Raw genomic sequence first — 15,411 nt, forward strand, 5'->3', positions numbered from 1 at the left:
ACACACTGCCATGCCCAACTAATTTTGATTTTTCATTTTTTGTAAAGATGGGGTCTCGCTTTGTTGCTGTTATAACTCCGTGTTCACACTGCTATGAAGGAATACCCCAGACTGGGTAATTTATAAAGAAAAGAGGTTTAATTGACTCACAGTTCCACATGGCTGGGGAAACTTACAATCATGGTGGAAGGCACCTCTTCACAGGGTGGCAGGAGAGACAGTGAGTGCTGAGCAATGGGGGAAAAGCCCCTTGTAAAACCATCAGAACTAGTGAGAACTCACTCACTATCACAAGAAGAGCATGGGGGTTACTGCCCCCATGATTCAATTACTCCCACCAGGTCCCTCACACAACACCTGGGGATTATGGGAACTACAATTCAAGATGAGATTTGGGTGGGGACGCAGTCAAACCATCTCAGTTGCCCAGGCTGGTCTCAAGTTCCTGGCCTCAAACGATCCTCTCGCCTCGACTTCCCAAAGTGCTGGGATTATAGGTATGAGCCACCGTCCCCAACTTAGGAATTCATTTTAAATGCCTTCCAGTATTATGCTGCTGCTAGAAATGCAATTCTAAAAAGTACACCCAAAACACCAAAAATACTTACGCAATGTAACATTAACAAGACAAGAATTCAAAATAGACACACCATAAATATAACAATGTAAAAAATATATGCAGGCGGGAGGTAACAAGTAAAAACAAACTGTACTGGAGTAGGGTGACTTTAAAAATAAAATCTCTTATTTCCTACATTAATTATTTGCTACCAATGTTTGTTCTTTTTTTTTTTTTTTTTTGCCTGGGATTAATCATCAGTAGGTGGAAGTTTGTAGAGAAACATTTGATATCTACAAAATGAACCACAAATGTGGCTAAACGTGCCAGCTACATGACTTTTTTTTTTTTTTCTTTTTTTCCTGAGACAAAGTCTTGTTCTCTTATCCAGGCTGGAATGCAATGGCGCGATCTCGGCTCACTGCAACCTCCGCCTTCCAGGTTCAAGCAATTCTCCTGGCTCAGTCCTGAGTAGCTGGGACTACAGGCAAGTGTCACCACTCCTGGCTAAATTTTATTTTTTGTATTTTTAGTAGAAATAGGGTTTTGGCATGTTGGCCAAGCTAATCTCGAACTCCTGACCTTGAGTGATCTACCCACCTTGGCCTCCCAAAGTGCTGGGGTTACAGGTGTGAGCCACTGGGCCTGGCCTACATGACTGCTTTTCAAGGGAATTGTTTTAACATGTTAAGAGGCTAAGCACAAAAGTAGCATTCAAGTGTTGGTTAGACACTTTTGAATATTATTTGATTTAAACATTTCTTTCAAATGGCATGCAAGAAATGGCTTAGGGGTTCTCAGGACTGAGGAATCAGGATGGGAACTTGATAACAGGGACCTTAGGTTGAAAGCTATTGTTCTAAAACAAGGTGCTTTCCCGGCATGGGAAGCAAATGCTGGGTTTTACAAGACCACAAGTGAGGCAGTGCCTTTGACTTGGCATTATCTACTGTGGCAACAAGCAGCAAGGTCATGATAGGGTTACTGGTGGAATAGCCTTGCTTTTTGGAACAAAAATTCCCACAAATTACCCACATATCAAAGTTATCCATTAGCTAACAAACATGAACGTTTTCTAGCAAATAAAACACGCATATCACAAAGTCCTCTCTTTAAAAGAAAACATAAAGAAGAGAAAGAGAAAAGAAGCTGATGACGGTGAAGCCTGATTTAGCAGATACGTTTATTCAACACAGTGCATGATTCAAAGCATCGGATATTCCACAGCCAACAAGGTTTCCTATTCCCTATTACAAAATACCGGATACCCTGAATATAGCTCATTCAAGGTCCTCGTTCCTTTTTCCCTATATCTAGAATTAAACAGGTTTCCCCGTTTAGCGCACATTTCACGTTCGCTGAAGGCTTTGGGGAGAGGGGGAAACAGAGCTTATGACTGCCCCTCTGAACCAAAGGCACTTAATGTTAAAAGATAAAGCACAGTAGAGTCACCCCACAGACATTCCTATGTGTTCAACGGCTGAACTTCAGCATACCATCACCGGCCCCATGTGGGATTCATCATAACAACGTAAAAGACACTGATTTCCTTGGAAAAACAAAGTGCAGTACGAATATAAAGGAGTCACCACACCCCTCTTCCGAAAATAATACATAAGAGAACTCTTACTTTACATGATTAGTATCACTCAAGGTTCACACATGGAAAAAATAGCTAAAAAATAATCTATAATAAATTCTCACTATGAAGTCACAATAGAATCTGATACCCTTTTTAGAACTGGTGAGTTGGAGAGACACCCAGAGGTCATGCTGTCCATCCCTTCATTTGATAGGGGAGGGCACTTGAGGCCCAGGAAGGTCAAGCGTCGGACCTGGGGTCTAACCCCTGTGGCAGAGCCTGCGTAGGACGCGGGCCTCCTGAAGCCTAGCTCAGGGTTCCCTCCACTCCCCTTCCTCTTTAAAGACTCTCAAAAGTAAAATATGGTGATGATCTCCAAAGATGCACCACACCATAAAGCACATGCACTGACCCAGGTCAGCAATTTGGTCTCACAAGGCGGTTCCTTTGGCCATTGGGCAGGTATGTAACCCACCTCAGGGTGGGAATTCTTTGCATGGGATCGTTCAAAGTTCTGAGAAAAGCCCAATGTAGGTCAGACACGACTGCTCCTTGGACTGGGGAAGACTTTCCTTGGTTGTCAGTCCATAGTGGGCAGGCGGTCGGCTGCACAGCGGAATCCCAGATTCGAAGCAGAGCTATCAGGTGTGTTCTGGCTCCGAGCAGCACAGCGATACCTGTAACAATAAGACTGTGTAGAGAGAAAGAGCAAGGTAAGTGCTACTGGGACTCTCAGCTGAAGGCTCTAACCCATCAGATGCATATTGCACCGGCTGTAGACAGTGCTTCCCCACAACCCTGCCTGTATGGATACTTAACATGTATGCTTTAAAAAGGGCAGCACATTCAAGAACTAACCACATATTTTCCAACGTCCTTCACCTTATAAATGTAACACGGATATAGTACAAAGATGTTCAGCATTAGATATAACAGCAAAAAAGAAAAATGTAACAACCAATGATTGCCTAAGTTTAGGCACATCCATATAATAGAAAAGTAAGCAGCCATTGAAAGTCATGTCTTTACATAGTATTTAATGACACAGGAAGTTTTCATGATAAAATGTTAAATGAGGCCAGGCGCACTGGCTCACACCTGTAATCCCAACATTTTGGGAGGCTGAAATGGGAGAACTGTTTGAGGCCAGGAGCTCGAGGCCAGCCTGGGCAACACAGCAAGATCCCATCTCTACAAAAAATTAGCTGAGCATGGTGGTGTGCACTTGTAGTCACAGCTACTCTAGAGGTTGAAGTGGGAAGATCTCTTGAGCCTGGGTGTTTGAGGCTGCAGTACACCATCACTGAGCCACTGTACTAAAGCCTGGGTGACAGAGCAAGATCTTGTGTCCAAAAAAAGAAAAAAAAACAGTTAAAATGAAAAAGGCAGAATATAAAGGTGTATATGTGGTATGACCACAGTGTAGATAACTACATGTGCCAAGAAGAAAAGACTGGAAGATTCCGAATGCACCACAATGTGCACAGTAGTTATCCCTCAAGCAATCTGAGTTTCATGTTTCCTATATGAAACCTATTCAGTATTCCAATACAATAAGAATATATATTAATTTTTGAAATTAAACCAAGTAATAAGTGATAGATGGCCACTGAAAAAATACTAAGAACAACACTAAGACACCATTTAATACCTAAATAATATTTATGATATTATTTATTATCTAAATCATATTTATGATATCATTTAATGCCAGTAGATCGGCAAAAAATTAAACAACAAGTCTAGGAACATCAAACATAGGAAAGGCTGTGGGACAACATTGCTTTTTAAAAATACATTGCTCTTCCATTTCTTTGTATCCTCTTTTATTTCATTGAGCAGTGGTTTGTAGTTCTCCTTGAAGAGGTCCTTCACGTCCCTTGTAAGGTGGATTCCTAGGTATTTTATTCTCTTTGAAGTAATTGTGAATGGGAGTTCACTCATGATTTGGCTCTCTGTTTGTCTGTTATTGGTGTATAAGATTGCTTGTGATTTTTGTACATTGATTTCGTATCCTGAGACGTTGCTGAAGTTGCTTATCAGCTTAAGGAGACTTTGGGCTGACACAATGGGGTTTTCTAGATATACAATCATGTCATCTGCAAACAGGGACAATTTGACTTCCTCTTTTCCTAATTGAATACCCTTTATTTCCTTCTCCTGCCTAATCGCCCTGGCCAGAACTTCCAACACTATGTTGAATAGGAGTGGTGAGAGAGGGCATCCCTGTCTTGTGCCAGTTTTCAAAGGGAATGCTTCCAGTTTTTGCCCATTCAGTGTGATATTGGCTGTGGGTCTGTCATAGATAGCTCTTATTATTTTGAGATACATCCCATCAATACCTAATTTATTGAGAGTTTTTAGCATGAAGGGTTGTTGAATTGTGTCAAAGGCCTTTTCTGCATCTATTGAGATAATCATGTGGTTTTTGTCTTTGGTTCTGTTTATATGCTGGATTACATTTATTCATTTGCGTATATTGAACCAGACTTGCATCCCAGGGATGAAGCCCACTTGATCATGGTGGATAAGCTTTTTGATGTGCTGCTGGATTCGGTTTGCCAGTATTTTATTGAGGATTTTTGCATCAATGTTCATCAAGGATATTGGTCTAAAATTCTCTTTCTTGGTTGAGTCTCTGCCCGGCTTTGGTATCAGGATGATGCTGGCCTCATCAAATGAGTTAGGGAGGATTCCCTCTTTTTCTATTGATTGGAATAGTTTCAGAAGGAATGGTACCAGTTCCTCCTTGTACCTGTGGTAGAATTCGGCTGTGAATCCATCTGGTCCTGGACTCTTTTTGGTTGGTAAGCTATTGATTATTGCCACAATTTCAGAGCCTGTTATTGGTCTATTCAGAGATTCAACTTCTTCCTGGTTTAGTCTTGGGAGAGTGTATGTGTCGAGGAATTTATCCATTTCTTCTAGATTTTCTAGTTTATTTGTGTAGAGGTGTTTGTAGTATTCTCTGATGGTAGTTTGTATTTCTGTGGGATCGGTGGTGATATCCCCTTTATCATTTTTTATTGGGTCTATTTGATTCTTCTCTCTTTTCTTCTTTATTAGTCTTGCTAGCGGTCTATCAATTTTGTTGATCCTTTCAAAAAACCAGCTCCTGGATTCATTAATTTTTTGAAGGGTTTTTTGTGTCTCTATTTCCTTCAGTTCTGCTCTGATTTTAGTTATTTCTTGCCTTCTGCTAGCTTTTGAATGTGTTTGCTCTTGCTTTTCTGGTTCTTTTAATTGTGATGTTAGGGTATCAATTTTGGATCTTTCCTGCTTTCTCTTGTGGGCATTTAGTGCTATAAATTTCCCTCTACACACTGCTTTGAATGTGTCCCAGAGATTCTGGTATGTTGTGTCTTTGTTCTTGTTGGTTTCAAAGAACATCTTTATTTCTGCCTTCATTTCATTATGTACCCAGTAGTCATTTTTGTTCAGTTTCCATGTAGTTGAGCGGTTTTGAGTGAGTTTCTTAATCCTGAGTTCTAGTTTGATTGCACTGTGGTCTGAGAGACAGTTTGTTATAATTTCTGTTCTTTTACATTTGCTGAGGAGAGCTTTACTTCCAACTATGTGGTCAATTTTGGAATAGGTGTGGTGTGGTGCTGAAAAAAATGTATATTCTGTTGATTTGGGGTGGAGAGTTCTGTAGATGTCTATTAGGTCTGCTTGGTGCAGAGCTGAGTTCAATTCCTGGATATCCTTGTTAACTTTCTGTCTCGTTGATCTGTCTAATGTTGACAGTGGGGTGTTAAAGTCTCCCATTATTATTGTGTGGGAGTCTAAGTCTCTTTGTAGGTCACTCAGGATTTGCTTTATGAATCTGGGTGCTTCTGTATTGGGTGCATATATATTTAGGATAGTTAGCTCTTGTTGTTGAATTGATCCCTTTATCATTATGTAATGGCCTTCTTTGTCTCTTTTGATCTTTGTTGGTTTAAAGTCTGTTTTATCAGAGACTAGGATTGCAACCCCTGCCTTTTTTTGTTTTCCGTTTGCTTGGTAGATCTTCCTCCATCCTTTTATTTTGAGCCTATGTGTGTCTCTGCACGTGAGATGGGTTTCCTGAATACAGCACACTGATGGGTCTTGACTCTTTATCCAATTTGCCAGTCTGTGTCTTTTAATTGGAGCATTTAGTCCATTTACATTTAAAGTTAATATTGTTATGTGTGAATTTGATCCTGTCATTATGATGTTAGCTGGTGATTTTGCTCGTTAGTTGATGCAGTTTCTTCCTAGTCTCGATGGTCTTTACAATTTGGCATGATTTTGCAGTGGCTGGTACCGGTTGTTCCTTTCCATATTTAGTGTTTCCTTCAGGAGCTCTTTTAGGGCAGGCCTGGTAGCAACAAAATCTCTCAGCATTTGCTTGTCTGTAAAGTATCTTATTTCTCCTTCACTTATGAAGCTTAGTTTGGCTGGATATGAAATTCTGGGTTGAAAATTCTTTTCTTTAAGAATGTTGAATATTGGCCCCCACTCTCTTCTGGCTTGTAGAGTTTCTGCCGAGAGATCCGCTGTTAGTCTGATGGGCTTCCCTTCGTGGGTAACCCGACCTTTCTCTCTGGCTGCCCTTAGCATTTTTTCCTTCATTTCAACTTTGGTGAATCTGATAATTATGTGTCTTGGAGTTGCTCTTCTCGAGGAGTATCTTTGTGGTGTTCTCTGTATTTCCTGAATCTGAATGTTGGCCTGCCTTGTTAGATTGGGGAAGTTCTCCTGGATAATAACCTGCAGAGTGTTTCCAACTTGGTTCCATTCTCCCCGTCACTTTCAGGTACACCCATCAGACGTAGATTTGGTCTTTTCACATAGTCCCATATTTCTTGGAGGCTTTGTTCATTTCTTTTTATTCTTTTTTCTCTAAACTTCCCTTCTCGCTTCATTTCATTCATTTCATCTTCCATCACTGATACCCTTTCTTCCAGTTGATTGCATCGACTCCTGAGGCTTTTGTATTCTTCACGTAGTTCTCGAGCCTTGGCTTTCAGCTCCATCAGCTCCTTTATGCACTTCTCTGTATTGGTTATTCTAGTTATACATTCGTCTAAATTTTTTTCAAAGTTTTTAACTTCTTTGCCTTTGGTTTGAATTTCCTCCTGTAGCTCGGAGTAGTTCAATCGTCTGAAGCCTTCTTCTCTCAACTCGTCAAAGTCATTCTCCATCCAGCTTTGTTCCATTGCTGGTGAGGAACTGCGTTCCTTTGGAGGAGGAGAGGCGCTCTGCTTTTTAAGAGTTTCCAGTTTTTCTGCTCTGTTTTTTCCCCATCTTTGGGGTTTTATCTACTTTTGGTGTTTGATGATGGTGATGTACAGATGGGTTTTTGGTGTGGACGTCCTTTCTGTTTGTTAGTTTTCCTTCTAACAGACAGGACCCTCAGCTGCAGGTCTGTTGGAGTTTGCTAGAGGTCCACTCCAGACCCTGTTTGCCTGGGTGTCAGCGGCGGTGGCTGCAGAACAGCAGATTTTTGTGAACCGCGAATGCTGCTGTCTGATTGTTCCTCTGGAAGTTTTGTCTCAGAGGAGTACCCGGCCGTGTGAGGTGTCAGTCTGCCCCTACTGGGGGGGTGCCTCACAGTTAGGCTGCTCGGGGGTCAGGGGTCAGGGACCCACTTGAGGAGGCAGTCTGCCCATTCTCAGATCTCCAGCTGCGTGCTGGGAGAACCACTGCTCTCTTCAAAGCTGTCAGACAGGGACATTTAAGTCTGCAGAGGTTACTGCTATCTTTTTGTTTGTCTGTGCCCTGCCCCCAGAGGTGGAGCCTACAGAGGCAGCCAGGCCTCCTTGAGCTGTGGTGGGCTCCACCCATTTCGAGCTTCCCAGCTGCTTAGGTTATACTGCCCAAGGTAATTTATAGATTCAATGCCATCCCCATCAAGCTACCAATGACTTTCTTCACAGAATTGGAAAAAACTACTTTAAAGTTCATATGGAACTAAAAAAGAGCCCGCATCACCAAGTCAATCCTAAGCCAAAAGAACAAAGCTGGAGGCATCACACTACCTGACTTCAAACTATACTACAAGGCTACAGTAACCAAAACAACATGGTACTGGTACCAAAACAGAGATATAGATCAATGGAACAGAACAGAGCCCTCAGAAATAACGCCGCATGTCTACAACTGTCTGATCTTTGACAAACCTGACAAAAACAAGCAATGGGGAAAGGATTCCCTATTTAATAAATGGTGCTGGGAAACCTGGCTAGCCATATGTAGAAAGCTGAAACTGGATCCCTTCCTTACACCTTATACAAAAATTAATTCAAGATGGATTAAAGACTTAAACGTTAGACCTAAAGCCATAAAAACTCTAGAAGAAAACCTAGGCATTACCATTCAGGACATAGGCATGGGCAAGGACTTCATGTCTAAAACACCAAAAGTAATGGCAACAAAAGCCAAAATTGACAAATGGGATCTAATTAAACTAAAGAGCTTCTGCACAGCAAAAGAAACTACCATCAGAGTGAACAGGCAACCTACAAAATGGGAGAAAATTTTCGCAACCTACTCATCTGACAAAGGGCTAATATTTAGAATCTACAATGAAGTCTAACAAATTTACAAGAAAAAAACAAACAACCCCATGAAAAAGTGGGCGAAGGACATGAACAGACACTTCTCAGAAGAAGACATTTGTGCAGCCAAAAGACACATGAAAAAATGCTCACCATCACTGGCCATCAGAGAAATGCAAATCAAAACCACAATGAGATATCATCTCACACCAGTTAGAATGGCAATCATTAAAAAGTCAGGAAACAACAGGTGCTGGAGAGGATGTGGAGAAATAGAGACACTTTTGCACTGTTGGTGGGACTGTAAACTAGTTCAACCATTGTGGAAGTCAGTGTGGCGATTCCTCAGGGATCTAGAACTAGAAATACCATTTGACCCAGCCATCCCATTACTGGGTATATACCCAAAGGACTATAAATCATGCTGCTATAAAGACACATGCACACGTATGTTTATTGCGGCACTACTCACAATAGCAAAGACTTGGAACCAACCCAAATGTCCAACCATGACAGACTGGATTAAGAAAATGTGGCACATATACACCATGGAAGAGTATCACGACTCATGTCTTCTTTCCCACTGCCCAATACACAAGCCCTGCATGCACTTGTACACTTGCATAAACATAAGAGAGCCTAACGCACATATCCCTGACTACCTAGCAGGTATTCAGTGATTAACCACAGATTACTTCAAAAGCCTCCACATGCCAAAAATAACCACGCTTGAAACTCTTGTGCCCTAGGATTGTTCTCCGATCCAAAAAAACGGAGAATAAAAATAAACTAGTCATCCTGTGTGCCATGAGCATAAACTCTGAGTTGGCCCAGTACAGCTCAAGTCCCTGCAAACTGGTTAAAGAAGTTTCACAAAGCAACATGTGGAATAACTTTAGAATCTGTGCAGAAGCGATAATTTGGACTCAGGGGGAAGATAAGTTGGCATGCAAAAGGTTTTTTTTTTTTTTTAAATTATTCTCTTTTCTCTCAGAAAAGTAAAATGCTTCTTGTCTTTGTGAAAAGTATCTCAAGTTGACACAGAAATTCTTTAGAGCACTTCTACTGTAAAAATAAAGACAGTGCTTTGTCTTCTATAGATAGTGAAATGATAGCAACCAATTTTCTCATTTTCCTTGTGGTCAGTGAATAATATAACATTAGCAATTCTCAGGTAGACAAAAGGAAGATGAATTTAAAGTGTGCTTGAAATAATTGATAAATTGATGGCATCTCCTACTATGTGTGATCTGCATGCAATGGAAGCTCTCAAATGACTAGAGGTGACCATGCAGGAAGACATAGCAAAAGCCTCATTCCATGCAGGGCCTACTCGTCGGGCTGCTGTGAAACAACAGTGCTTTGGTATTTCTAGAATCAAGTTCCTGTGGATAATCCAGGGCCCCATGCAGCCAAGCATGTGTAGCAAACTCCACACTGCAACAAAGATCAGGTTCAGGGGGAGCTACACAGATGACATGTCATTCTTGTCCCATAAACGTACACGCTTTTTTAGAAGGCAAAAATTGATGTGGATGAGATTTCCATGATCATGGCAGTGGTCCTCGGACCTCAGCATACATAAGAATGGCCAATACAGGTTGCTTAAATCCATGTTCCTAGGCCATACATCCAGAAACTCTGATTCAGGAAGTCTAGTATGGGGCCCAAGAACCTACTTCTAACAAGCTTCTAGGTGCTGCTGATGCTACAGGCCCATGGGCCACACTTTGAGTAACACTAGTTTATAGGATTTAGAGGGGAAGTTGAGAGGATAGCAAGGCCAGAGCCTGATCATATCAGGGCATGGTTTAATTATTCACTGAATATATGAGAGCTTACAATATGCCAGATGCTATTTTAGGTATGACGGATACAATCAGAACAAGACAAACAAGATAGCTGTTATCAGGGAGCTGACATTCAAAAGGGAATTGTCAGACAATAAATAAACCGATACATTCAAGATGGTTTCCAGGAGCAGTCACCTCTGCAGGAAGGAAAATAGGGAAAGAGGACTGAGAGTGACTGGGTGGCTACTTTCGATAGGGTGGTGGTCTGGAAAGGCCTCTCTGAGAAGATCACATGTGGGCTGAGTTGCCCAAAGATCTGGAGCATGAGAATTCCAGGCAAGAGTAATGACTGGCACAAAGGTGGTTAATGATGTCTTTGGGGTAACTGGCTTCCTCACTAAAACAACAAAGGTATTAGCCAGCTTCTAAGCAGGTCTTAGAAACCTTGTGTTCAACTGCAGGAAGATGGTAATAGCCCTGCCAGCATCTGAATGTGGATATACATTTGCTACATAAATGGGAAAGTTAAGAAATCTCTCTGGTGATAGGGCATAGGACTTAGGTTTTTGTTGAATGGCATATTTCTACCTGTCACTTATCTCTTAAATTATATCAGAAACTATTTTAAAATAAGATGATATTCATATGCCACAAAACCTAGCATATAACCACTCAAATGAACTGTTGGGATCTGCCCAAAGCACTGGGTTGAGGATTCTACAGCTGCGACACAGGATAGTGAAAAGACATATACAAGAGATTATTCCCAGGGCCATATCTGAAGACCCCGGTATATACAGAATAATTCCATTCTTGAAAGACAAAAATTAAGTACACAAAAAGTTTGCTGGAATACTATCAATTGTTTTCTTTAGAAAGCATGATGATCTTATTTTCATTTTGATCTTTACTATGTATTTTCTAAATTTTATGCTATGAAAATGTTTTCTTTGAATAATGAAAAGTTTAAAATCAGTGCCTCTCCCTTCCCCACCACCAAAATTTAGTTCTTTATTAGATCACAGCAATCCCTGAGACTGTCCATTAACCAAAATGACAATAAAGAATTAAACCCTAAAAAGCAAGACTCACTACAAAAGTTAGTGTTGCGAGGTCAGGGCCATCACTTGAGAAAACAGTCAATTCACACATCATTCCATTTCAAATGCACTCATTCACTCAGCAAACATTTATTAATAAGTCGTTTATTTTAAATTCCAACTAATAAAGCACATAATTAAAGAGGTAAATGGCCTCATTATAAATGTCCTCATTGCTCTTTCTTTTTTACCAACTTTATTTTTAGCAGCAAAAGTGGTTCTTAAGGATGTGAGGTCTTTAGGTGGCTGAAAAATGGGTCATTCTATTAATTAAGAACAGGGAAAGTGGGAAGGACCTGTTTTAGTCCTATTTCATTAAGATGGCTAATTACTGTGTGAAATTGATCTCCATGTCTGTGCTAAGAATGAGATCCTGGACTTGGGAACAATCCATTTAAGATAATGACTTACCAGCCTTGGGGCTTCAAAGTAAAGGGGAGCAGCAATATGGTTTTTATGAGAGGGAGACTTTTTGGTACAAAGGGCATTTTAAAGATAATTGTAACTCATGTTAAACGAAATCATTATAGAGAATGCCACAACAGAACAGAGGTCTCAATTTCCCGTCCGTTGCTCTTGCCACTAACACTAGACCAACTCCTTTTGCTCTTCATCTTGGTAGGATGGTGAGGATTTCCTTAATGTTGTAGGCTGAGCTAAAGACCCAGAGGGATTAATCTAACAACATCAACAACAATGAGTATTTCTTGAGTACTTACTATGTGAACTGTATTACTACGTATTAATTCACTTAATCCTCTCAGCAATCCTATGAGATAGGCATCATTAGTATCTGCACTGTATACATGAGGAAAAATTGAGGCACACAGATGTTAATAGTGTGCCTAAGGTCACATGGTTTATAAATGGTGGATCCAAGGTTCTAGCCTATTCAATCTGATTCCAAAGTCTGCACCCTTAACCAGATGACATGTTGCCTCATAGTTTTTCTTTCTGTGCCCCCATCTCCTTATTGAAGCTATACTTTGGATAGATTTTCAAAAAATTATGAATGATCATCAGAATTTACTTTAGCCAGGCAGGCCGGGCATGGTGGCTCATGTCTGTTATCTCAGCACTTTGGGAGGCCAAGGCGGGAGGATCACTTAAGGTCAGGAGTTCGAGACCAGCCTGGCCAATTTGGTGAAACCCCATCTCTACACAAAAATTAGCTGGGCGTGGTGGCACAAGCCTGTAATCCCGGCTACTCAGGAAGCTGAGGCAGGAGAAATGCTTGAACCTGGGAGGCGGACATTGCAGTGAGCCTAGATCATGTCACTGCACTCCAGCCTGGGTCACAGAGTAAGATTCTGTCTCAAAAAAAAGAATTTACTTTAGCCAGGCAAACTGGTGTTGGCCCATGATCAAAAATAAGTCATCATCTAAAAAAGAAAATTTTTTAAAAAATGAATTATAACATTATTCTTTCTTTTTATTGATTTTTTTCCTTTTATTGATTTTCACCTATGCCATGAACATTGCTTTTGCCTGTCTAGTTGGGAGTTTATTAGTTGGTTCCTTCTTCAAAAGAGAAGAGGGGAAATAATCTAATTATAATAAAGATGATGCTGATAGGAGCAACTAACTTTTACTGAGCCTTTACCATAAGCTAAGCACTGTACCAAGAACTTATATATGTTGGTTCATTTACTCCTCATCAGAACCTTATAATGGGTACAATTATATTATGTTACAAATGTAAAAACTGAGGCTTAGAAAGATTAAGTAATTTGCCCAAGGTCACATACCTGGCAAGAAACAGATATAGAACTCCAATCCAGATGTAATTCCCTAATCCACATCTCAATAATTTAGTAAAAGCTGTTACTCTTCATCTACTGGAAAGGCTAAGCACTCTGAAAATAATTCACAACCGACACTATGCTATTTTCCTAACCTTACAGATATAACCAGACTGATGATAAAGACCAACCTAATAAACAATTCATTTGACCAAGATCCTGGAAGTGCCATTTTTCTATGGAAAATCCTGTGGATCCCACTCAGTTCTGTCAATCTGCTATTCTCCTCTTCTAAAATGTTATCCCCATCACATGGAACCTGACTAAATTAAAACAAATCCTTCAAGTAAGCTAAGAAAAGATAAAAATGCATAATATAGACTTTAAATCAACCACTAAGATTATAAAACATAGAGTTACAACTAATAAGCATAAGGAGAGAAAATGGGGTGATAAAAAGTATGTAATCGAAAAGAAGACAAACAGAGAACAACAACAGGTGAGACAAAGAGAAAAAAAATCAAGATGGCACATTTCAACCCAACCATATTAAAAACCACATTAAAAATAAATGGTCTAAACACCCAATGAAAGGCAGAGATTATGCCAATAAATACAATAACTCAAATGAAATGGACAAATTCCTTAAAAGATACAAACTACTAGAATGTACTCAAGAAGAAGCAGATAAGCTGTATAGTCCTACATCTATTTAAAAAATTAGGCCTACAGTAAAAGAAAAAAAAAATGGGCATACTGGCTCACACCTGTAGTCCCAGCCACTCAGGAGGCTGAGGCAGGACAATTGCTTGAGTTCAGAAATTCGACCCTGTCTCTAAATTAATTAATTAATAGTTAAAACTCTCGGCCCAAATGCATTCACCAAGGAATCCTATCAAACATTTCAATAATAACACTAATTCTACATAAACTCTTGCAAAAAAATTTAAAATAAGTTAATATTTAACAACTCAATCTATGAAGTCAGCAATACCCTGAAACCAAAATCAGATAAAGACATTACAAGAAAACACAGAATAAACTAGATTCAAAAATACTCATAATTTTTGCAAATCAAATCCAAAAATGTATAAAAAAGATAATACATCATGACTAAGTGGAATGATACATATCCCAGGAATGCAAGGATAGCTTAATATTTGAAAATCAATGTAATTCACCATATGAACAGATAGAAAAAGCAAAATCATATTATCATCTCAATAGATGCAGAAAAAGCTCCCAGCAAAATCTACATCCATTGCTGATAAAAAACTCTAAAAAATTAGCAATGGAAAAAAACTTTCTCAAGCTGTAAAGGGCATGCATCTATGAAAAAGCTATTGCTAATACATATCCAATTTTGAAAAACTGAATGTTTATTCCCTAAGATCAAGAATGAGGTATGAAGGTCTACTCTTACCATTCCTATTCAACCCTATACTGAAGGTTCTAGCCAATGACATACAGCAAGAAAAAGTTATAAAAGGGATCTAGATTAAAAAGGAAGAACTGTCGATATTCACAGATCATATGATCAGCTATGTAGAAAATATGATACAATTTACAAAAACATTACTAGAACTAATAAATGAGTTTTGCAAGGTTGCAAGACTCAAGATGAACATAAAAAATCAGTACCATGTAAGTGTACTTAATAAAGTATGTAGGAGTTTAAAAGATATTTTTAAAGAATCTACTGGGAAGCTTATAAAAATGTAGATTACAAATAAGCTAAAAGTTATAAAACATGAAAGTAGATACATTCATACGCATGGAATTAGGACAGTTAATGTCCTTTACTTGCTTAAAATGTTTTTTACAAGCTTCTGTTACCCCATTTATTCTTGATGAAAAATCTTCTGGTCCTCAATTACTTAGAAAGTAAATGGATTCTGAATTTAGAAAAGTGCCATATGCCAGAGACATAACTGGTGACAATTAGGATTTTGAGATACTACTGTACAAAGAGAGATTCACCTGTTTTCCATGGAAGTCTGGTTTCCTGGCAAGAAGATCCAGGTACATTTGTAGCAATAACTTCAAATAGAGAAGCAATCTGGGATTAAAGACTCTGATGTATACGTGAACATGTAAATATATTGGGA

At 39.5% G+C, this 15,411-nt stretch overlaps 1 protein-coding gene across 12 annotated transcripts in view; it reads right to left on the reverse strand.

Annotated features, from left to right (window-relative positions):
• Window positions 1-15,411, reverse strand: part of SUMF1 (sulfatase modifying factor 1) — a 432,784-nt gene that overhangs the window by 324,937 nt on the left and 92,436 nt on the right. For 4 of the 12 annotated variants that reach the window (XM_047448025.1, NM_001164674.2, NM_001164675.2 and 1 more), the window contains one exon: window positions 1,724-2,832. The exons of the other annotated variants lie outside the window; for them this stretch is intronic. In XM_047448025.1, the coding sequence (XP_047303981.1) occupies window positions 2,722-2,832 (111 nt within the window). In that variant the 3' untranslated portion in view covers window positions 1,724-2,721. Of the gene's footprint in view, window positions 1-1,723; window positions 2,833-15,411 lie in introns of those variants that run through there. 12 annotated transcript variants of the gene reach the window in all.

This window comes from Homo sapiens, chromosome 3 (genome assembly GCF_000001405.40).
Source record: "Homo sapiens chromosome 3, GRCh38.p14 Primary Assembly".
In the NCBI taxonomy this organism is placed as follows: Eukaryota; Metazoa; Chordata; class Mammalia; order Primates; family Hominidae; genus Homo; species Homo sapiens.